The sequence below is a fragment of the Homo sapiens genome, chromosome 11 (genome assembly GCF_000001405.40).
Source record: "Homo sapiens chromosome 11, GRCh38.p14 Primary Assembly".
Taxonomy (NCBI): Eukaryota; Metazoa; Chordata; class Mammalia; order Primates; family Hominidae; genus Homo; species Homo sapiens.
Window position 1 is genome coordinate 92,708,597 of NC_000011.10, and position 25,246 is coordinate 92,733,842.

Consider the following 25,246-nt stretch of genomic DNA (forward strand, 5'->3'; position numbering starts at 1 on the left):
GTGATTCCTGAAGCAGTCATCTTGTGACAAAATTCAGAACACTTAAGGCCTTGTATTATGCATTGTATTTATAGCTTGGTTCATAGTTGTTGAATATACTTATGATACTTTAATAAGATAGCATCTATGAATGAGCCTACAGAAGTTCCTGGCACATGGTATGCACTCAAAAATATATTAATTTTTTTGGCCCTTTTCTGAAGAAAATCCCAAAAGCTTAGAGATTTATCAGCTTCCGCTGGCCACCATCCACTTAAATAAGCTGTAAACATGTAAGTTGCAATAGCTTATTCTCCTAAGACAGGCTAATGAGTCAACCGTGGGTCTGGCATGGCTATGATGAAGGTCATTAGATCTCTACTATTGGATCCACAGTCTTTCCCTCTGGCTTTCTAAACCAGTATCCAATAGGTAGACCGAGGCACCCAAGCTCCAATAATAGAGCAGTAGCATTTCCAAGCATCCAGGAGCTCCATAAATTAGTCTTACGACTAGGATGGGACAAATAACTAATTTCCCCCGGCCAGCCATGTTCAGGCCTGTCCAGCCTTATCACTAACCCCTAAGCTTTCTCCCGGAATCATAACCCCTTTAAGGTCTTAAATTGTGTTTATTTGTTAATGCAGTCAATGTGTTTAACATTTAGACATCTAATGGGAATTTTTTTATGTTTCATTCAAATGTCAAAACCTCAATCGTGTAGAAATACGAAACTGGATGTGACTGTTTAGGAGATGTTCGATGGAGGTAGCCCACAGCATGGTTAATATTCAGCAGCAGATATCATCATTTGAAAATCATTGCCCTGGGTAGTTTCAAACTCCGCCTCTCCTTTAGGCTATTCTTAGCTTCATTAGCAAGCTGCAAGATGAGCTCCACTGAGATTTCTAATCCTCTGTCTTCCTGGCCCTACCTTTAGTGAAGGTCACCCGTAGGAGGAAGGGTCAGATTACTCCGCTTTGTACCCCAGCACCTAAAACAATGCCAGGGATGTAATAGGCACTTGATGAATGTTGGCTGAGTGGAAGTTTAGGGCTCCAGGTAATCCACAACCCAGGTAATCCATGCTTTGCAGGATATAGTGATATGTACTGTCCAGAGATCCACAAAATATACACTAAGCACACAGAGGAGGCACCTAGGTGGGAAGTTTGAGGAGCCCTTGGGGTGCCAGCTGATATGCAGAACAGGGAAGGGCTTTCTCCCACCGCATCCCAGTCTGTACTGAGGTGGCTTGCCAACCCCAGCTCCTGTTTGGAGCCTAAAAGCAGTTCCTAAATCACATTACCTCCGATCATCCTTGGGAGATCATAAATACATAATTCAGAAGAAAGATCTTAGATTTTTCATGATGTACCCATTATAATTCCTGGCATGCCACTCTAGAGTTTTAAAGATGCTGATAAGTCTTGAAATTAGATGTAGGGCTAAGCTCCAGGCTAACGTATACCTTGCTGTTATGTAATTGAAATAAAATCTACTTTTAGGTGACTACTTTCAAATAAAATAGAAAAATGTCAATATTTTAAAAAATGCATAAGTACTCATTAGTAGCCCTCTTAAGAAGCTTCACAAAGACAAAGCACTTTAAACTAAGCAACCAGTACTACAAAGTAGACTGAGCGATCCAGTGTTCTGACTTTCCCCATATTGAGAGAGGCTTAATTTGTTCTTGCTTTGTTTTTGAATTGAAGGCTATGAAAGCAAATTTTGATCCCATAGGATACCAAATGACTGAGATTTTCTCTTCATGGTATATGGCATTCTTCTTGTCACTGCAAATAACTTTGGCAAAGTCTCAACTTTGCATGTCCCATCTTTGCCCTCCAAGGCCTAAGAACCTCTTCTCATTAGGTGAGAAAGTCAGAAAGGCTGCAGTCAAATTTAAAGCAATATTACAGCCTTGTTGGCAGGGAGACATAACCGCAGCAGACAGACTCTTGAGGTATGCAGGAATTAGAGATGCGCTTGTTTGGTATCAGCCAGAACAGAATGGGATTTTTTATTTAGCATTTTTTACAACAGAAGGTGTTGTTCTGTCTCTATCAGCAGTAGCCAGGGCATGCTTGCTTCATCTCTGAATGAAGAATTACAAATATCTCTGCGCAAGGCCGTGACAGACCCATGATGTGTGCTTTGATACATGCACAAAACCATTTACCCGTCTTCAAAAATGATGCTTCCAGAAGCAATTCATTTAAAAGTTCCTGTCATGCCACAAGGGCATCAACATGTAAGGAAGAGTGAACTCAGTTTCTCATGGTGTAAAGCAAGTACACACCTAGGTGAAAGGGAGAAAAAGCCTATTCCAAAACTCCTCTTTTAGAAATTACATAGTGCCTATGGTAGGATTTTTAAAAATACAATTATTTCCGATTATAGAAATATGAGAATCATGTAACTATGATCATATATGATACATGTTCATTGTAAGAAAATTTAACAAAAACAGAGAAGACAAAGATAAATGAATAAAAACATTTAATAATATTCATAGTTTTTCCATAAATTGATGATTGTGTTTTAAATTTTGGTAAATAATCTTTCAGAACTTTCTTTTACATTTATGTATATATGTATACACATATATTTCATATAATCCTACATAAAATTTGTGAAGAAATCTAATAAATACTTTATATAGTTTCATATCCTTGCTTATTTGTTATGGACATTTTTCTATATTAATATATTTACATTCAATATGTTACTTTTTTCCATTGCATGGGATCTCATTAAATAGCAATCTAGGGTAGAGTTGCCAATGACCTTAAGTAGGAACCATCTATCACTTTTTCTAGAATATTGCATGAATATAGCCCAGCCCCCCAGGAGGCCCTAGTGATACTTCTGTAGTGTTGGTTTGGTGCCCAGTTTCAAGCCATTTACTAGCCTTCACTTCTGCCTGTGGATCAGCTAAAGGAAAGACTCTGGACATCATCTAATGTAATTTGGCAGATTATTTCCAATACTTGATCAGCTTGCACGCAAATATGAACAAAAATCTATCCCTTGGCTGGATCTGTAATACTCTACCTTATAGCATTTACCTACTGAAGGAAAAATTATACAGTGTAAGAAATGTTTATGTAAATATCTTTGAAACATTTGGAAAAGAGTACTGCATATTAATTCATGTCCTTTGAAAAATTATATCAAGAACCTAAACATGTAACCTAAATATGTAACTTTAGACATCTAAACAGGTTACCCACAAATATCAGCTACTCTCCTTTCTTCCAGTATAGTTTGATATTCTACCTTACAACATTTTGTCATTGAAGACAAAATGATATATTGTAAGCACCTTTTCACAAAAGTACAAATAAATCCCACAGAATCATAAAATTTCAGAGCTAAATAGTACCTTAGAAATCATCTGCTTGATGATGGATTATTTAAATCCCAAACTAAAGATCTGGATAAACATTTGCCAAATGTGGGCATGCAAGCGACATTCGCATTTGGCATAGCTGTCTGCATTCTCTACTGGTGACAAATTGTAGTGTAAAAAGAGGGAAAGGATCCAAACCAAACTGTAGCTGAGGCTTGACATGTCTCTGAGAGGGCACATATGCCTTCTCATGTTTAAAAGCAAAATCCCTTCAGATGATGCAGGTAGAATAAGGAGAAAGAAGAGCAGCCCCTGTCTCCCGCCACACATCCCCCATCAGTTCCAACTTGGAGCTATTAAGAAAAAGGGACTCTGGAAAGACTCTTACGTGCATGCCAAGAATAAGTCATCTCTGCACTCAGAGAAACCCCACTTTCAGACAACCTTGAAATGTGGTTTTCACGGAGGGAGGGCATGAAAAATAATATGCTTCTATAAAACATCCCTTTTTGAGAGTAAAAATGTAAAGAAATATATAATTCATGAATATGAGTCTGTTGTGAAACCATAGATTACAAGGTCCTTAATGACTGTTTTTGTTTTCTTCCTGGTACTGACTTTGTACTTATTAGACTCTAAGTAAATATTAGCTGAATTAAAATGAAAAAAAATATATTCTTACCTTCTCTTTTCATTGTGTTTAGACAGAGGAAATAGAAAACTAATCTCACCTCAACTTTACAATTAGTTCTTACCTGAGAGGAGCTTTAGCTATCTAGGCTTTTGCCCAGATATTTCCAAAGGCATAAATGTGTAACTATAAATGCCTAACAAATGACAAGGGCAGTTCCGAAACTGTAGCAGAAAACACCATCTATAAGGTTGCCAGTTGGTAACACAAATATTTCTGAACCACCTACAGTTTAACTTAATTATGTTTTCCACAGTAGGGTTACTTGCTCCTGGAAGGACAGAATGCATGAGGCTGAAGTTGCTTAATAAATGGTGTTATCTGGAGATGTGTACATTTCCAAAGCCCAGCCCCAGCTTGCAAGCTTGAAATCAGCACTCTGACCAATACATAAAAGACACTGCACACTGCTTACCACCTCACACAGGTGTTCAGGCTTAAAGTCTGACATAAGAGATTAAGAAGGCAAGTTGGTGAAAAATACAGCTTCTGGAAGCTATAAGTAGACCCAGAGATGGACCCAGGGATCTTAGAAATCATACGTGAAACTTTGAGAAGGAAGTTGCCCTTGACTACCACAACTGAGGTTTGGAGTAAGAGTTCAAAACTGCAAAGAATGATAAGCAAAGGGAAAAGCATTGTTCTCACTGCTTTTCTGTTCTCTCCTTGATTGTCATGCATTTCAATGGCATCCAGATGTTCTATTATTTTAGCTACCAACTTGGGAAATTACATTGTAGTTACTTTCAAAGTTGTCAGAACACTAAACTCAACAATGACAGTTTATAACCCATTTTCTCTAAAGTGCTCAATTTTTTTTCTTAACCCTGATGGGCTGGCATTTAAATAAAGTAAGCCAGGATTCTGAAACTCAATTAGTTTCTGGATATGCAAAGTTATTCTTTGTGCTCATCCACATGCATATTGGTTCTTACATCTTGGGTACCCTGTACTTTAATTTTTTCTCTATTTGTATCTAGATTTGTTTAAAAATAGGAAATTCACTTCATGCTTTAACTTTCAATAGTTTTCAGTCTTTAAAACTAAACTATTTAAATTCTTTTGGCTTTCAAATTTGCATTTTTCAGAAAATTGAAGGCTAGTTAAAAAGACCAATATTATTAAATTTGAAAATGCGTATTTTCCCAGTTGAATCAAAAACATAATAGTATGTATATCATATTTTACAACTGATTTCTTTAAGATTTCCCAGAAAACTCAGTTCATAATTTTCTGTTGCAAAGGGATGAAGTTCTCTTCAGTTTAATGCCTGCAGCATTCTTATGGTAATTTTGAAATTGGGAGACTTGGTCACATTCATAAATGGTAACTGTAGAAAACTGACTACCTTCAAATCAAATAAAAGCATAAAGAACCTTGAGGATACTTTTGAAAAGAGGAGACTCTCTAACAAGTCTAGTTACAGCGTCTATTCCTAGGGCAGATGAATGAGAGAGTTCTTATAAGACTACTGCTGTGGTTTCTTTTTCTTTATTTTTTTTATAGACTGTTTGTATTATCTGTCTGTACAGTACTTAGCACCCTGTTGAACTCAATAAATATGCAGTGGTGATAATATTGCTCCGAATTCACTTAGCACTTTCACATCTTTTGAGTGTCACAATGTTCTGCCTACTAGGTGCAGGGAATTTTAATTTAATGCTCATTCTGAGGCTTAAAGCTTGGAAGTGCAATGACCCATGTAAGATAATCCTCCACTCCAGTAGCACATTTTTGGAGCAAAGCCATTAGGTTGTACAAGAATTCATTAAAAAGCAGAAAAACTGTACTTCCCACACTAAAACACTGATGAGGCTCAGTACACTGTTGTTTCTAATCTCTACCCTGGAAGCCATCCACATCATATTCCCCCAAAGCACAAAAAAGGAAAAAAAAAATTTGAAAACTATGATGATTAAACAGTTCTGACCAACCTCAATCAAACTTTGATCCATGGCAGAAATTAGGAAAGAAATCAAAAGGTCCTGGAACAAGTTCTTCATCAGAACAATACAGTTTGTCCCTCAACCTAATTCAGCTATTACTAGATTGTGGAATACCTAGCAGTTTCCACGTATTTTCTCCTATGAAGTTGCATTTTTCTCTTGGCTTTTTAGAAACTATCTACAGGTAGTTTTAATACCAATAAAATCAATGGTATCTTTAGCACTAACACAGTTTCTAGCATCTAATAAGCACCCTGGAACTATTTAGTTGAATGAATGAATGAATGAATGAGTGAATGATCCATGAAGGGAAATACCAAATTGTTCTGAAAACCCTGGTCTCGGTTATTTTATTGCTTCATTAAAAAGAAAAGACTGTTGGGGTTACCTGACAGAATCTTTAACTTTTTAAAACATTCCAGTAGTTTATGGGGTATGGGTTGTTTTTTGTTACATGGATTTGGGACTTATGAGGACAACTAGCCTCCTCCAAAAAAAAAAAGACTAAAAGTTATCATAAATGTAATAAATGTTCTGGGAATATTAAAATTAAATTGGCCGGGTGCGTTGGCTCACACCTGTAATCCCAGCACTTTGGGAGGCCGAGGTAGGCGGATCATGAGGTCAGGAGATCGAGACCATCCTGGCTAACACGGTGAAAGCCCGTCTCCACTAAAAAAAAAAAAAAAAAATAGCTGGGTGTGGTGGCAGGAGCCTGTAGTCCCAGCTACTCAGGAGGCTGAGGCAGGAGAATGGTGTGAACCCGGGAGGCAGAGCTTGCAGTGAACCAAGATCGCACCACTGCACTGCAGCCTGGGTGACAGTGCAAGACTCTGTCTCAAAAAAATAAAAAAATAAATAAAAATAAAAAATTAATTAATTAATGTTAAATTGATATAAATTATCACTCATGAGAATACACAGATATTTGGTGTGAGATTTAATTGACAGTCCACAATTGATAATTAACCATAAACACACTCATGTATGTGCATGCACACACACATACACACACACGTACTTCCAGCATATAAAACATAATTATACCCAAAGTTACCCTAACACAGTTGAGGATACCAGAATAACACAGGTGAAGTACTTATGAACTGTAGGACAGCACATGATAAAATTTTATACCCAACTTTGAGAAACAACTTGTATGTGCTATAAAGTTAATGGCTGCACTTATCAGGGAGGACTTCACAGAAGAGGGGAGACTTGACCTGGGCCTTGGATAAGAAGAAGATCAACGTAAAAGAAGAGAACACTGATGATTCAAGCAGAAGATATAAAGAGGGATGCATATGGCACCCTTGGGAGACTATGACAGGAGTAGCCTACCTGCCAGTGGAAGTAGGAATTGGAGAGCAGTAGAGGAGGGAAATTGAAGTAGTTTCGACTAGATACTTGATGAAATACAGAACCATAAAAGGTTTTTGAGCAGGATGGTGGCATGATCAACGTCATATACAAAGACAGTTTATCTGGGAAAAGAGGACTTTGGAGTTAGAAGGAGTCTGGGATCAGACCAGCTGGTTAAGAGGAGGCAGATCGAGGTGTGAGGGGATTGCTATCCAACTGCAGGTAGTGGTAGCAGTAAGATAAAAGATACCTGGATAAATGGGCAAAACTCAGTGATTGAATAGGAAGGAGTGAAGGAAGGAACAAGGATAGTTCTTCCTCATGGATGTCAGAAGCTGGTGTTCAGTAGCAGGCATGTATAGACATCATAAGTTTGGTTGGCTTCATTTGTGTTTCTTCCCTTTAAATGAAGTGAGGTGGTCATCCTGCTAGCAACTGACTGCCTAATTAGCTCTTTCTCATTCGCCATCAGTATATGAGCTGAGGACTGATCTACTCTTGACTTGTGCTTTGAGTTTCCAGTGCAGAAAAAAAAAAGGCTTCCATAAGAGTTTTCTGGAAAAAAATATACAAAAATTATCTTTTTACTTTTACAGAAAATTTGCATATATCTTAGTTTTACTCATTTCCATAAGGTTCTTAACTCTGCCTGTTGAAGTAATCACTATGGCAACTGCAGTGTTTCTGGCACAGGTGAGTTGGACTTAGGGTCCATATATTTTAATTTTCTTTTTACTTGCATGTGTACTTGGGGTTGACATGAAGGATTAGGCAATTCACTCACCAGGGTCACTTTGATGAATACATCATCCCAGCCTAATTGCTATGATGTAGAAATGGAATCTAAAGAGAGATTCATTTGGGAAAAGGAGGGAGGTTTCCCTTTATGATTGTAGTAGAGATTTAATGTTGTTACAGTGAATAACAACTGATAGAACATTTGCATAGCTGGAAGAAACCCATTGTTGCAGGATGATGTTAAGCCATATTGGTGGAAAGAGGCTGGGTGTAGGTTCAGGCAGACCAAGGTTTGAATCAAGATTCTGCCATATATTTGCTGAATGATCTAGAGCAAATTCTTACTCTGTGATAGTCTCAGTATCCTCAATTGTAAAATGAAGATAATAACAACCACCTTATCGGGTTGTTTTATGTGTTGTGTAGAAAGCATGTGTGGAGAGACTAACAGAATGTCTTGCGTACAGTAATATATCAACTGTATCAACTGTTAGTTTCCTTCTTCACGTCAAAAAATCCTCCATGTTTCTTTGTCCCCAGTACCTAGCACAGTTTCAACATATTCAATAACTATTTTGCTCAATAGATGCAAATGCAGAAGGGCATTTTGAGGACTAGGAAAAGTAGCAATATCCCTTGTTAAATAGACATGTTTGCTTTCCAATGGGGGTCCTAATTCAGCGCTTCAGCTAAAGGGCATATATACAATTGTGGGTGTGTGCATTGTACTTCCAAAGATGAGCAGTTGTATCCTCTCACAGCTCTGTCAGGAAGCTCATCATGACTCACCCTCCTACAGATCAGGTGGTTAATTATGTTATTAAACTGTCAGAATTATCCAGAATGGCTTTGTCATCCACCTGACAAGAGACCTCAGTTTGATACCACTGTGTTCAAATGGCTGAAAAATGTGAATGTGTTGTGAGATAATGTATGAACATATATGGAAGATTTTTTTCAAAATGTTTTATGCAAGATTTTTTTCCTTTAATTCCTGTGCTTTAGCTATTACATTGTTCTTAACTTAAAATTGATTTTAGTTCACTTCTACAGCTATCTTTCAGAGCCTAAGATATGCAGGTTCTGTGGTCAATGTGATGGGGACAAAGATGAGTAAGATTTGGCTCATTGGGACCACAACCCTCACTTCTTAAAAAAGAAGAGAAGACCTTCATCAGAATAAAAATCACCAGCCATGATCTTTATTATGATATTTTTACTCATCGTGAAATGAGTAAACTGGATGGTAGCAAGCTAGATTCAGCTAAATAGTCATGGTGGATTGCAAAAAATGGCCACAAATTCTTGCAACTCTTTCTTTCAAGAGCTGGAGGCTATTTCCATGCCCCCTTGGGTCTGGGCTGGCTTGGTGACTTGCTGTGACCAGTAGCTTATAGTAGAAGTGATGCCGAACTTTCAGAAGCTCAGCCCCAAGAGACCTGGCTTCTCTTCTTATTGTGCCTATAATCCTGAGACATTGACCAGTTTTCATGATGTGGTCACTCCCTAGTGGCAAGATAGACCCTTCAACTAAACTTTGGTTGGAAAGTCAAGACCATGATGCCACACACACACCAAAAGTATATGTAAAGGTTTATTACTTGCATATGAGCTTTCTGGGGAGAACAGGGTGGGCTTCCAAACTGGTCCACAAATGGCTTCTGAAAGTAGGAAATGGAGATGAGCTTGGGGTTATATGGTGGGTGGGGGTAGGACTAGGTGAGGGTTCCTGCGCTCAAGCTGGGGTCCACGTGGTTTGACCTTCCAGCTAGCACCAAAGGAGGAAGTACCTGGGGTTTCTTAATGTGCCCACATGTGGAGCAGACAGGGACAGGATTGTGATGGGACAGAAGGCTGTCAGCAGTCAAAATGAAAAATGGCATCAATCTTGTTATTACTCTTTCTTACTAGTGTCTTCCTAGTATATAGCATCTGAAATTATTATTTAAAAATATTTATTCTTTATTTCTCTACCCTCTCCATCCTCTACAGTAAGCTCAGTAATGACTGAAACCAAGCATACATTGTTCTCCTCCAAATCTCTGGCTTCTAGATTAGTGTTTGGTACATAGAAAGTGATCAGTAAATATATATGAATGAATTTCTACAAGTGAACATTAGTTTTGCTGTATCCAGTCCTGATGCTTACAGTCTCATTACAGAATGAATGCACTCTAAGTCTAATGATCTTGAGTTTTTAATCCTAATAATCTTAAATTTTAATGACCTGCTCTGCATCTCCTAACAGTTGATACCTCTAAAGAAACGGGTAAGAAATGTTAGCCTTTGGTTCTTCTCTATGCTTTGAGCTATGTCCTTGTATCAAGTCCCATCACCAGAACACCATGTACCTGGATTAGGTTTCTCCAGCTTTCCATGGAAATATTTTTACAGTATTAGGTTCCTGATATTTATTGAAGCTATAGTACACAGCCATATACACCTATCTCTGAATATTTTATAAAGGTACTGCTCAGCACATGGCTATCTATTTTAGTCACTGTTTCCTAGGACAGACCCATGCAGCAGGCATCTCAGAGTTTAGAGCTGGGCCAGTTAGCATTTCCTCCTCTATTAGATGAGGAGTTCAGCCAACTTATAGAAGGAAACTGTTGTGTTAAACTGTAGGAGGTTCCCTTACCCTAGATTTTCTCACATTATTATCTACCAGTTCTTGTCTTTTTATCTTTCTTTTAATTTTATATGTATAGTCGTCTCTCAATATCCGTGGAGGATTGGTTCCAAGAACCCCCTCAGATACCAAAATCAATGTATACTCAAGTCCCTTACATAAAATGATGTAGTATTTGCATATAAACTATGAACTATGAAACCTGTATTCTTTAAGTCATCTGTAGATTACTGATAATACCTAATACAGTGTAAATACCATGTAAATAGTTTTTATACTATATTACTTAGGAAACAAAGACAAGAAAAAACAGTCTGTACATACATGTTCAGTACAGATGTTTTTTTCTTCTCCAAATATTTTTTATCCAAGTTTGGTTGAATCCAGGACACAGAACCCATGGATACAGGAGAACCAACTCTGTGTGTGTGTGTGTGTGTGTGTGTGTGTGTGTGTGTGTGTGTGTGTGTGTATAATTTTCTGTAAATCTCCACAAACTTTCTTTGTAAGTAGATATGGTATTAATAATTAATAAATGGATGCTTGCACACTGGAAAATATTCAAGTAAGACTGTTCCGTTGCCCTTCCCCTGTTTGGGGAAACCTGGTGTTTGGGAAAAAGCAAGGAGTAATGCTGTCTGGTTGCTCCAGCAGAAGTGGCGTGTTCTTTACCTTTATGTCTCCTGTAGCACGTTTAAAGGGATCAAGAAATGTTTGTCACATTAAACTTCCTGGATTTTTTTCTATACCACAGGGGCAGGGGCTTGATTAACGTCATTTATGACCGGAACTCATAGGATATAGGGATCTAGAATTTGAAATACATCTGCTTTCCAGAGATATCCTGAAGGATCTTTTTAAAGTAGAGTAAGAGGTTGATTTTCATCTATATTTTCTCCTTAACATAGTGCCTAACCCTGAGGCTTTAAGCACTGCTGTGGAATAATTACCAATTGATCTTCACGAGCACTTTAATATCTTTGAATCTCTGGGATTGATTCTCTTCTTTTACCTAAAGCTTGATACAGTAAAAATGAAACAATAAGTCATTGCTAATACCATTGCTTTAGTCTATAATTTAAAATGCTTTAAAAATATAATTAGGTTAACCTTTTCTCAGGGAATAGATGGATACACATAAAGAGAGCTACATAGTTCGTTTCTATAAAATGAATCTGTTTTCCTGCCATTTTTGCCATACAGTTGGAGATGTGCTTTCATTGAAAAACATGTCTTAACATAGTGAACTGTTTAGCATTTGGTGAAGGACTTTTGACAGTATTCCACATTGGACGAAAGTGTGGTGAAAAGTGTTTTCTAACACTTTTAGAAATGTGCCACGTACCCTCAACTGTTTTCATTTATCTTTCTCCTCATCCTTATTTCCAGATTTCATGCTGCAGTTTCTGTAATTTAACTCTTCTTCATCTTTTCTAATAGCAATTTGAAGTGTAGCCATCTAAATTTGCTTGTTTTCATTTTTAAAAATGACTTATTATTAAACTATACCTGTGCTTCAAATTCAAAATATGGTAAATAAGGTCCCTTAATGTAAATGATATTTGAACTCAGTGTTTTTTATCCCTTTAGGATTTTTGTGTGATAGTCCAGGATTCCAAATGTTATAGCATTCATTTCTTTTGTTTTTCAACTTTTATTTAAGTTCAGTGGTACATGTGCAGGATGTTACATAGGTAAACATGTGCCATGGTGGTTTATTGCACACATCATCCCATCACCCAGGTATTAAGCCCAGCAGCCATCAGATATTCTTCTTGATGTTCTCCCTCCCCCAATCCCTACAACAGGTGCCCAGTGTGTATTGTCCCCCAATACCATGTGTCCAATAGCATGTTTGTTTAGCAACAATGTACACTGCCTGTGTTGCAATATGGCAAATCAGGATAATGCAAGAAATAGGTTATTATAAAATTAAATGAAAGGTTAAAGGGCCTTATTAGCTATTAGTAATAGAAAAAATGAAGTGAAAATCTGTGTCCTCTGAGGATATTGAAAATATTCTAAAATTTGATTATCATGGTGTGAGTGCCCAACTCTGTAAATATATAAAAACAATTTAATTGTACACATTAAACAGGTGAACTTTATGGTATATAAATTGTATCTCAGTAAAGCTAATTTTTTTAAACAGCTCTGTCCTGGTGAAGGAATGAAATAATGGATTAATTTACATACACTTACATAAACAATAATGATCCTAATAAATCCTCAGTTGAAACAAATTGCAATTGCAATATTAAAGGCGCAAACCTCAACTGCCTAAGGAATTTTTCTAAAAGTCAAATCTTGTCTGTGGCTGTGGGTGCATCTTATGAGATACAAATGTTGTATCCTTGATGCTCATGCCAATTGTATTAAGTCCATTTTCATGCTGCTGATAAAGACATAACTGAGACTGGGCAATTTACAAAAGAAAGAGATTTACTGGACTCACAGTTCCATGTGGCAGGAGAGACCTCACAATCATGGCAGAAGATGAAAGGCATATCTTATGTGCCAGCAGACAAGAGAAGTGAGCTTGTGCAGGGAAACTCCTCTTTTTAAAACAATCAGATCCCATGAAACTTATTCACTATTATGAGAACAGCACAGGAAAAACCCACCTCCATGATTTAAGTACCTCCCACTGGATCCCTCACACAACACGTGGGAATTCAATATGAGATTTGGGTGGGGACAGGGCCAAACCATATCATTCTCCCCTGGCCCCTCCCAAATCTCACATTTCAAAACCAATTATGACTTCTCAACAGTCCCCCAAAGTCAACTCATTTCAGCATTAACTCAAAAGTCCACAGTCCAAGGTCTCATCTGAAACAAAGCAAGTCCCTTCCACCTATGAGCCTGTAAAATCAAAAACAAATTAGTTACTTTCTAGATATAATGGCAGTATACCCATTGGGTAAATACAGCCATTCCAAATGGGAGAAATTGGCCAAAACAAAGGGGTTACAGGCCCCCTGCAAGTCCAGAATCCAGTGGAACAGTCAAATCTTAAAGCTCCAAAATGATCTCCTTTGACTCCATGTCTCATATCCAGGTCATGCTGATACAAGGGGTGGGCTCCCATGGCCCTGGGCAGCTCTGCCTCTGTGGCTTTGCAGGGTACAGCCTCCCTCCAAGCTGCTTTTATGGGCTGGCATTGAGTATCTGCAGCTTTTCCAGACACACAGTGCAAGCTGTCAGTGGATCTACCATTCTGGGGCCTGGAGAACAGTGGCCCTCTTCTCACAGCTCCACTAGGTGGTACCCCAGTAGGGACTGTGTGGTGGCTCTGACCTCACATTTCCCTTTCACACTGCCCTAGCAGAGGTTCTCCATGAGAGCCCCACCCCTGCAGCAAACTTCTGCCTGGACACCCAGGCATTTCTCTATATCTTCTGAAATCTAGGTGGATGTTCCCAAACCTCAATAATTTACTTCTGTGCACTCACAGGCTCAATACCACATGGAAGCTGCTAAGGCTTGGGGCTTGCACCCTCTGAAGCCATGGCCTGAGCTCTATGTTGGCCCCTTTCAGCCATGGCTAGGGTGGCTAGGATGCAAGACACCAAGTCCCTAGGCTGCACACAGCATGGGGACCCTGGGCCTGGCCTACGAAAACATCTTTTCCTCCTAGTTCTCTGGGCCTGTGATGGGGGAGGGACTGCCTTGAAGACCTCTGACATGCCCTGGTGATATTTTCCCCATTACCTTGGGGATTAACATTCAGCTCCTTGTTGCTTGTGCAAATTTCTGCAGACGGCTTGAATTTCTCCTCAGAAAATGGGATTTTCTTTTCTATTGCATTGTCAAGCTGCAAATTTTCCAAACTTTTATGCTGTTTCCCTTATAAAACTGAATGCCTTTAACAGCATCCAAGTCACCTCTTGAACGTTTTGCTGCTTAGTAATTTCTTCCACCAGATACCCTAAATCATCTCTCTCAAGTTCAAAGTTCCACATATCTTTAGGGCAGGGGCAAAATTCCACCAGACTCTTTGCTAAAACATAACAAGAGTCACCTTTGCTCCAGTTGCCAACAAGTTCCTCATCTCCATCTCAGACCACTTCAGCCTGGATTTCATTGTCCATATTATTATTAGCATTTTTGTCAAAGCCATTAAACAAGTCTCTAGGAAGTTCCAAACTTTCCCATATTTTCCTGTCTTCTTCTGAGACCTCCAAATTGTTCCAACCTCTGCCTGTTAGCCAGTTCCAAATTCACTTCCACATTTTCAGGTATCTTTTCAGCAGGGCTTCACTCTCGGTACCAATTTACTGTATTAGTCTGTTTTCACACTGTTAATAAAAACATACTCAAGACTGGGCAATTTACAAAAGAAAGAGGTTTATTGGACTTACAGTTTCACGTGGCTGGGGAGGCCTATCTATCATGGCAGAAGGTGAAAGGCACATCTTATGTGGTGGCAGACAAGAGAAGGGAGCTTGTGCAGGGAAACTCCCCTTTTTAAAACCATCAGATCCCATGAGACTTACTCACTATCACGAGAACAGCACGGGAAAGACCAGCCCACATGATTCAAGTACCTCCCACCAGGTCCCTCCCACAACACGTGGGAATTCAAGATGAGATTTGGGTGGGGATGCAGCCAAACCATATCACCAATCATCAGGTATTTATTGAGTTCCATTGTGATAGAGGCTGCTCTTGGAGAGTCAAAGGTATAAAATACAAAACCAGCTGTATTACTTGCTATTGCTGTTTAACAAAACATAGTGGCTTAAAACAACACCATTTTATTTAGCTCACAGTGTTGTGGGTGGGTTGTTGGTGGGTTGTGTTGTTCTTGTCTGAGCTGGCTCAGCTGATCTCTGCTGGGATTTTTCAAGAAACTGTGGTGAACTGGTGAGAGGGCTAACTGGTGATCTAGGATAGACCCACTCACATGTCTGGCAGTTGGCAGGCTATCTTCTGAGGCACTTGGTTGTCCTCCATGTGGCCCCTCATCCTTTAGGTTGGCCACATAGTACTTTCAGGTTTCCAAGTACAGCAAGAGCAGCAACTATAAAACCTCTTGAGGTTCAGGATCTGGACTTGCACCATGTCACTTAGACTGTATTTTACTGGTCAAAGCAAGTTACTAAGCCATCCCAGATTCAGAGGATAGGGAAATAAAATTCACCTATTGATAGGAGGAGCTGCAAGATTTGATGGATATTTTTAGAGTCAATTTCATAGTCAATCAATTACTAAAATAAGGCTGCTTTCTAGACCTCCATCCAAGTCACTTCAACACTACAGCAATGTAGCTAAATCTGGTTTTGTGCTATCCAGTTTATCCCTTCCGTTTAAGTAAACTAAGTCTCATTATGAAGATGATTTGGGTATGTTAAGTACACACTCACAGTATTCATGTGTATTAAATGTTGAATTAATTACCCCCACTAGAAGTGGGCAGGGATAACAGCAGCTCTTGCTAAAACTGTTTAAATTTTGCTTCAAACTGTTGCCATAGATTTACCTAACATAAAGATTGTTTTGATTTCCTAAAGTACACACCATTAAATGGGTCCAAAGCCAGAGGAGCAGGAGACCACAAGATGGGAATAAAATTACAGTGGCGTGGTTACTTCACATTGAGTAATTAAGAAGCAACTATATTATAATATCTATTTTAATTCTGGCCATTTGCCAGCTATAACTTCTCTCACAGCAATAAGAAAAGTTGAGGAGCAAACCAAAATATTCACCTGAATACAATGAGAAACACACAAGACAAGAATGGAAAAAAAAACCCTAAATCCAATTGACTAATGTTAGAGAAGAAATTTATAAAATTCAACGTATCTGGTAAGCTACCTACCAAAAGGAAAATCAGGAGCAGGTAGTGAGAAATCACCCAATATAGTCTCACAACCTTGTTAAAACTGTGAGATCATTATCCCATTGCCAGTTGTTCCCAAGAAATGGGCCTCTTCTTAAATATGGGGGACTGAATGCTGAGGGCCAGCCAGGGAAAACACTCCCAGCTCCACTGACATCTGACATGAATCACATCAGAACCTAAGACCTTTGCCCACAGCCATTAAAAATTGTGACAGTTCAACTGTGAAAATCTTCAGGTTCAAGCTTGGGTCTCAGACAGAAAAATCCATCTCCCAACTACCTCATCAAAGTGTAGTGTTCAGCTTGACTTTTCCTATCCCTAGGCATCCGCTTTCTATAAACACAGCTCCCAGCATGATGGTGTCAATTAAATACCCACTTTCAATTACCTAATAGAAGAAAAAAAAGAAAAAAAGATCTTGTTACTTAGGAAGTTTTTTTTTTAACCAATTCTATGGATGTAGAAGTCTAGCATCTTAAAAGACACCTTAAATGACCATTTGCTTTCTATAAGCTGTTGCCTCAGATACAGTTGAGATTTATAAAAGTCCTAGGCAAGCTTCTTAGAAGCATACTAACATCAGCTGATAAAGAGTGTTTCTATTTTCCTTTGAATTAGACATCCCTTTCTCTGCTATAATCCTCTTTATATAGAGACTCCTTTTCTATTGAGCCAAGAGTGGAATAATTGCAAAAGCCTTGTCAGGGTGCCATACTGGAGAGACTTTCCATGTCTCCATTATCCCTCTACAAGTAGACAGTTTATTTTTTTTTAGTTTTTAAAAATTTATCATTTAAAAGCATGTTTAATCAGTTACTCAAATAATGCTGCTTTCTAAGTCACTTCATCAAATTTACTAAGGAAAAAATAATTATTTAAGGTGATGGATATCTCAATGACACTGATTTGGTCTTCACAAATAATATAAGTATATTAAATTAGGACATGTCCCCTGAAAACATGTACATCAATTATATACCAATAAAACATACAAAATTAAAAAACTTTAATAAAAGATCAACTATAAGATGGAATTGTTTAATAGCTATGACAATTTCTAGAAAGTTCTACTGCAGAGTTTTCCTTTTCTATATTTATAGAAGCATTTCAAGGAATAATCAACTTCTTAAAAACTATGGATATAAGTGGTTTAATTGTTTTATTATATGTTTAATATTCAGAAAAGCATATTTATAGTCAACAGTTGCAATTTCAAGTATCCTATATATTCATCAAAAATATGAATTTGCTGAGAAAAGACACAGAACAACCATAACAATGGGAACTGGTGAAATTGTGGTTACGATGTTTTAGAAATACAAATTTTAAGCTGATATACTCTTTGAATGGTTAGTAAAAGAATGATAAAATGCCTAAAATTCAAAATATTTTAAATGACATTCAGAAGATGGAAAGATACTCAGATGCTTGAAATGACCCCTTCACACGTGACATGATAAAATTTAACATGTTGCCAGAAGCACCAAATTGTGGCTAAGTCACTCTGGTTGTTAAAGAATGGTTAAACTAAAAAATAATAGAAAGTGACCTTAAAAACAGCTAAAGAAATCTGAAATGGCCAAAATCATCCTATGTCAGCTAATTTGTTATTATCTAGTATCTGGGACATGTATTAAGTGAGATTTGTCAACTCAGTAGCAGTGGGCTGACAGATTCAACATGAAAAGCAAAAACTGTCCAAAACAATGGAAAGGAAATAAGCAATGGAAAGGAAATAAGAGAACAGGACACTATCACATTTACCTTACAGTTAAATCTATTCAATAGAAGTCCACATCTCCCTAGGATTCTTAAATCTCAATAAAATGAACATTTACTAAAATACTGCTCTTATGACAAAATGAAAAAATTGTCATCTAAAGCTTCCCTAAAATATTCAAAAGCTTTTAAAACCACTCAATCTACTATGAATTTCGATTAACTTCATAAACAGCTACAAGAAAACAATGTTTTGGTAAATTTAGCACATTGATTTTTGGCAAGTTGGCTTCTGGCAAACTGGTCGTTTTATATATTGTTTATTTCAGCATATTGATTTTTAGCAATTTGGCTTCTTTCTGATACCTGGTGCCCTCAGAGAACAAGCTGGATAATCAAAGACTTATTTTTAGAAATATATCAAGTGCCAAGAGTCACTAGTTAGGAGACTGAGTATACATGGTGATTGAGACAGACATTGCCACCGACTTCATGGGAGATACAGCCTGTCAGGGAAGACAGACATTAAGTAAAAGTGACATAAATAATTATTTAGCTAGAATTTTAATAATGCTTAAAAAAAAACATGGTATGAAATGAGAGTGTCTGAGAGGAAGACCTGGTAGATAACCTTTTATTTTTAATTGATTTGTAATTAAAAATTATATAATAGAAAATGCAGTCTGGCCTGGTGAAACAGACAGGAGGACCAGTGCTGAGCATCATCATCAGTCAGGTGTGGGTGGCGTGGTAGGTTTGCAGAACCGACATAGACCATGGGCAGCACGCACTGCCTAAGGAGCAGTGACTGGCATCCATTAATGTCTCCAGTGTTCATCTTGTGCAGGGTCCTTTATGTTTTCCTCACATGCCTTAGAGTGGTCTTTGTCTTTAAAGTGACAGGCTCCACTTTCCATGTGCTTCTCTCTCACGGCTTACCTGCAGGCTCCAGTCTTCTCTCAGCCTGCAGCTTGCAACCCCCGTTGCCATTTGCCATGCCGCCACTGAGGCTGGCCTCCCCAGATCCTTTTCCTTGGCTGCTTTTTATTTTTATTCTTACACTTCTTTGTTGCTGGCTGTTCTTCTCAGGGTTCTCCGGGCTTTGAGAGAGCATGCTGGCCAGTGGTGGCACTCCTGTGCCTCTGCACAAGTGTACTGAACAACTGGGTCTCTGACACCTCCCAGGGAGTGGTTTTACATAGCTCTGGTGGTCTAGAGCTTCTCATCCCAAATACCATCTTCATTAGAAATCTAAGGATTCTCGGAGGCTATTTCTGAAATCATCAATGTTTTACCTTAACTAATACCAGAAAACGAGTTGTCCATATTATTAAGAGGAGTTCTAAATAGTTAGAATTTGTTTTCTGTTTTTTGTTTGTTTGTTTGTTTAACTAGTCCTTGTGGAGCAGGGCTACCCCACAGGCAGTGTGCCTTTGTTTAAAAAAGATAAATGAAAGACGGGAGGAAACTATGTATGCCCTGTGATTAAGATGTATCTAAACAATATGTAAATAGCTGTGTTAAAAAAGCAGTCAATAGCACTAAGAGACAAAAATGTTTTTGCTTGCAGTGTTTACAAAGAAGTTTAGACTTCAGCAGAACTGGACTGCTGGAATAAAAGACACAGTCCAGGTTTTGGTGGGGTTTTTTGTTTGTTTTTTTAAAAATCGGCATATTTGTTTTCTGGGGCTGCTATAAAACAAATTACCACAAGCTTGTTGGCTTAAAACAACAAGAATTTATTCTCTCAGAGTTTTAGAGGCTGGAAGTTCAACGTCAATTTCAGGAAGATCAATGTCAATTTCACTCACCTGAAATGAAGGTGTCAGCAGGGCCAGGCACCCTCTGGAGGTTCTGGGGAAGAATCCTTCCTTGCTTCTTGGAGCTTCAAGTAGCTGGCAGCATCCCTGACTTGTGGCCACATCCCTCTAATCTCTGTTTCTTCCTCTTCCGAGTGTAACCTCATCTGCCTGTGTCTCCTTTACAAGGACATTAGTGATGTCATCTATGGCCCACCAGGTTAATCCAGGATGATCTCCTCATCTCAAGATCCTTAACTTAATCGCATTTGCAAAGACCCCTTTTTCAAATTAGCTGACATTTACAGGTTCTAGAGATTAGGATTTGATATATTTGGTTTCATCATTCAACTCACTACACAGGGGTTACATTGTTTCTGTTGAGAATCACAATTCACAGAAAGGGGCCCAAGTCTTTGCTTATCCTGAAGGTAGGGTGATTTGTTCTATGTGTTTCTTTCCAGATATAAAGTTGTTTTTTCCCGACTCTGCTACTGGTGCACTTGATCATCCTGGTAGAGGACAAGGTGCCAGCGCTGCTTTCTCAGTTGTGTGCTTGCAAACAAACTGACTGACAAACGCAGAGCACTCGATAAATGTCATTGTTATTATTGGTGTGGCTACATGCAGGAAAACAGCCTGAAATTTTATTATTTTTTCACATCAGATGGGTAATAAGATTTGAGGGAGACACATCTCTCACGTGTGGGAAAACCCAGTCATCACACTTATGAACTGCAAATGGACCCCAGACTGAATTTTTTTTTTTTTTTTTTGAGATGGAGTCTCGCTCTGTCACCCAGGCTGGAGTGCAGTGGCGTGATCTCGGCTCACTGCACCCTCTGCCTCCCGGGTTCAAGCAATTCTCCTGCCTCAGCCTCCCAAGTAGCTGGGATTACAGGAGCGTGCCCCCGTGCCTGGCTAATTTTTTGTATTTTAGTAGAGACTGGGTTTCACCATGTTGGCCAGGATGGTCTCGATCTCCTGACCTCGTGATCCACCCACCTCGGCCTCCCAAAGTGCTGGGATTATAGGCGTGAGCCACTGCACCTGGCCCCCAGACTGAAATTTTAAAAAAGAAAACACTAACATGATAATGGTAGTTAGTGAATGGAAGGATCAGGGGGTCATACTGCTTTAAAAAATTACGTTGAAATTTAATTTAAAAAAAACATTTTTAAACATTCATTTAATCTGAATACTCTTGAGACTACAAGACTACTCTAAAATTTACTTAGTAAATTCTATGCTCAGAATCTATGAGAGTCTAGTGGTTATCTCTGGGTAATGGGATCATGAGTGATTTTTTAAAAATATTTTACTTTCCTGTTTTCATAATTTTGCTACATAAAACATACATAACATATATAAAAATTGATTAAAATTAATGTATTTGGGCCAGGTAGATCATGTGTGTAATCCCAGCATTTTGGGAGGCCGAGGTGGGAGAATCACTTGAGGCCTAGAGACCAGCCTTGGCAACATACTGAGACCCCCATCTCTACAAAAACCTTTAATAATTGGCCAGTCATGGTGGCTCATGCCTGTAGTCCTAGCTACTCAGAAGGCTGATGAGGGAGGATCGCTTGAGCCCAGGAGTTCAAGGCTGCAGTGAGCCATGATCACACCACTGTACTTCAGTCTGAGAGACAGAGTGAGATCGTGTCTCAAAAAGAAAAATTAATATATCAAAATTTTGATATATAAACTCTGAGCTTTAGAGTTTGCAATTAGTTTTATGTACATTATCACATTTACAGCTCCATGAGGTTTGACATTATTTGGCTATTTGGAAGGTGAGGACGTGAGCTGTACAGGGATCCAATCCAAGGCTGATGTAGCAAGGAAAGGAACAGGACCATAGTCCTTTTTATCTTGACTCCAAGTCTAGTGGTTTATACAGAATTTAAGTTACTGTGAAGTTAATGATACTCCTTATAAAATGTATGTTTGCCTGCTTTTGAATTTGCGCTAGAAGAAAATTTTGCTCATCCAACCCCAGTCTCCATGTGGGATTCCTAGAAGTTTTCAAACCTGTTTATTAATGTATTTTTAACATGTGTCAAAATTCTGCTTAGTTCCACAATCAATCATTATTTCTTGTAATTTCTGAAAAATGCCCATTTATGTCTTGAGACTATTCCATTCAAATCTCAAAAAAGACTATTTTTAATCATGTAGTTTTTAAAATTTTTTTTTCATCCCCCTGCCTTTATCATAGGTCTTCTTATGCCTAAGAACTAAAGCAATTTCTTTAAAATGAGCAGAGCAGGTTCTTTCCATGATAGCTGACCCTTCATTATGAAATCGGGGGCTAAGTCAAATTCGGTTTTGTGTTGTCTTCCCTATCACCCACCCCTTCACCCACCAACTTGCATTTATTGAAGCAAAATGTTTCACAATATTTGTGGTGCTATTAGAATGTCCTTCAGTCCAACACCCTTTATCCTCCTCCTAAAGCTCAGCATTTTGCTATTGAATATGTAGATGTATGTAAGGAAGTTCATTGATGTTTTGCTTTCCAGTTACTCTCAAACCTGTAAATATTTTTGAAGCCTTGAATAGATCATTTGTTCATTATTGGTGCCAGTTTTACCTCCAGGGGACATTTAGAAATGCCTGGAGACAGTTTTTGGTTGTCACAATAGCAGAGAGCAGGTACCTAGTCAGTAGGGAAAAGGATGGTGCCAGCCATCCTACAGGACAGCCCCCACAACAAAATTATATGACCCCAAATGTTCAATACTGCCCTTGTTGAGAAATATGGACCTAGATCAACACCACCCATCTTTCAATTCCATCTTATAGATGTTCACCTCCCCCAGAATACCACAGAGATACAGACTTTACAAAACATGCACTTAAACAAGGAGTGGCAGCATCATTCAGCTGATCCAGGTTCCACCCTTACTTTTTCTTGGTGACCTATGCATAGCAAATGGCTTTCATATCATCTAAAGTCTAGGATAATGATAGTGTCTTACTCTCTGGTGGCTGAAGGATTTCTGTGAGGCCTTAGGTTCATTCTCTTGGGAAAAAAAAAAGCCCTTAAGGCAGTAAGAAGACCCCCCAAGGGCACAGTTAGCTATGCCTTCGTCTGTATCCTCTCTTTATATCTCTAACACAAAAGTTTGTTTGTTTGCTTGGTTTTTCTTTTTTAATAATTTAAGGGAGGTGCTTTAGTCTCCTCAGTAAATTATATTGTGTCATAATGCTAGTACCTAACATAATGACAACACATAAAAATTGCTTAATCAATGTTTGTTGAATGAATGACTTTAATTGTTCAGAGTTTCATGTTCAGTTATAGATCATGAATTCCAATTGCCTATAGTCTCCTGTCACCTTCTTCAGATTTACTCTGTATTCTAACTTCTGTTTTACTTTTTCCACTGGTTTTATTTTTGCCCTTGGGGGATATTTTTTTATTCATTAAATTTACTAATTTACTCACATCAATTTACTAATTGTTTCTTACGCTAGGTACTGTTAGCATTGTCAGAAATGTTTAAGGGGTGAGGAAGCAAAGATGAGTAAAGACAATGTACAATTTAATTATAATACAGAGAGTGACTGAATGCTATTAGAATCTATTTATAGAAAGATCAAAATAAAATTTGAGACATAGAGGAAAAGCTTATAGAAGCGATATAACAATCAATGCTCCTGGAAGTGGGATGAGGTTTGAACAGGCATTTTTTTCATCCACTACTCACTCACTCACCTACTCATTAATCCTGTAAGCATATTTTGAGTGCCTGCTCTGTGGCTAAGGACACAAAAATGAATAAGATATTGCTTATACCCTCAATGCATTTATGGTTTAATATTTGAAAAAATTAATGATAAACCTCTTCACAGCAAGCCATCATCTGACAGTAGAGAATCAGAGAAAAACATTGCTTCTAGATCAGATGGGTTTGCCATGAGAATCCTGGTTTCTCCATTGTTTCTGAGCTATACAACCTTGGGCAAATTTAAATTATGTCTCAATGTCCATATTTGTTACATGGGAATAGCAATATCTACCTCACAGAGATTTTACTAGAATTAAAAGAAATAACATGTTAATTATTCAATAAACATTTATAGAGAACCCATTACTTTCCAGATACTAGGTTAAGCACTAGAGGTTAAGCACTGGGGATACAAAAACAAATGACCCTCCACCTGTCTTCCAAGGGACAGTTTGATAAGTGCTTTGGGAGACATCACAGAGCAGGTGTGCTTCACTTGGACGGTGGAAAGGTGATAAAGGACCACTTCCCTGTGGGATAACCACTGAGTTTGATGTTAAAAAACACTGGAAGTTAGACCCAGGAAAAAACTTCACCGCACAGGATGTTCCAGAAGTAAGAACAGCAGGCTTGCTGAGGGGCAGGTAGCTGACTGGAGCCTAGAGAGGAGGGAAGATGTGGAGTAGGGGAGACAGGGGCAGTGGTTACACAAGGGTAGCAAAGACTGAGGCACAAGGCTGGATGTCAGAAGGCTACGTATGCCTTGTTAGACAGTGTGGATCCAACTGGGAGCCACTCTGGAAGAAACAGGCTCAGTAACCACTTAATACATGAGTAAAACAAGTCTACATTCTGGAAGGTTTGGGGGAAGACTCAAGTGAACTGGGCACATTCTGATGTTACTAGCTGAAGCCTTGTACATGAAAGTTTAGGAAATCAATTTGAATAGGTAATATGAGGCAAGACTGTGATAGAATTTGGTGTCTTGGTGGTCTCTTGTCTACAAAATGATTGATTGTTTTAGCACCATGTGTACAATGTCCTAGATGAGGAAAAGACTTGAGGCTTGAATACCAGATATGAGATTGTGACTTAGTTATCAAATTATAGGGTCCAGGTCTAGGGTAGAGCAATCGAAGCATACATGCAGAGTTGGACAGCAGTCTTCTGAGAAGCATCATCAGTATGAGACAGAGAGGGTAGAGCCCACAGCTCTATAAGCTTAAGTAAATGAAAGCATGGTGGTCCCTAGGTTGAAAGGCCGATGTGACTTGAGAGAGAAGATATGAGTTGAGTTTGGCACGTTATGTTTTAGATGCAAGGGGGGCAAAAAAGTGAAACTTCCTATTGAGACCTTAGATATATGGGATGAAATCTTGTGCAGGAAACTGAAGCTGTAGGTACAGATTTGGGAATCCTCACAATAGAGATGATTGT

The 25,246-nt window shown here is 38.4% G+C and overlaps 1 protein-coding gene and 1 pseudogene across 11 annotated transcripts in view; one reads left to right on the forward strand and one right to left on the reverse strand.

The window, feature by feature from the left end:
• FAT3 (FAT atypical cadherin 3) overlaps positions 1-25,246 on the forward strand; it is a 671,656-nt gene that overhangs the window by 483,779 nt on the left and 162,631 nt on the right. The gene's annotated exons all lie outside the window — the stretch shown is intronic.
• LOC124902841 (uncharacterized) lies at positions 20,734-20,819 on the reverse strand (annotated as a pseudogene).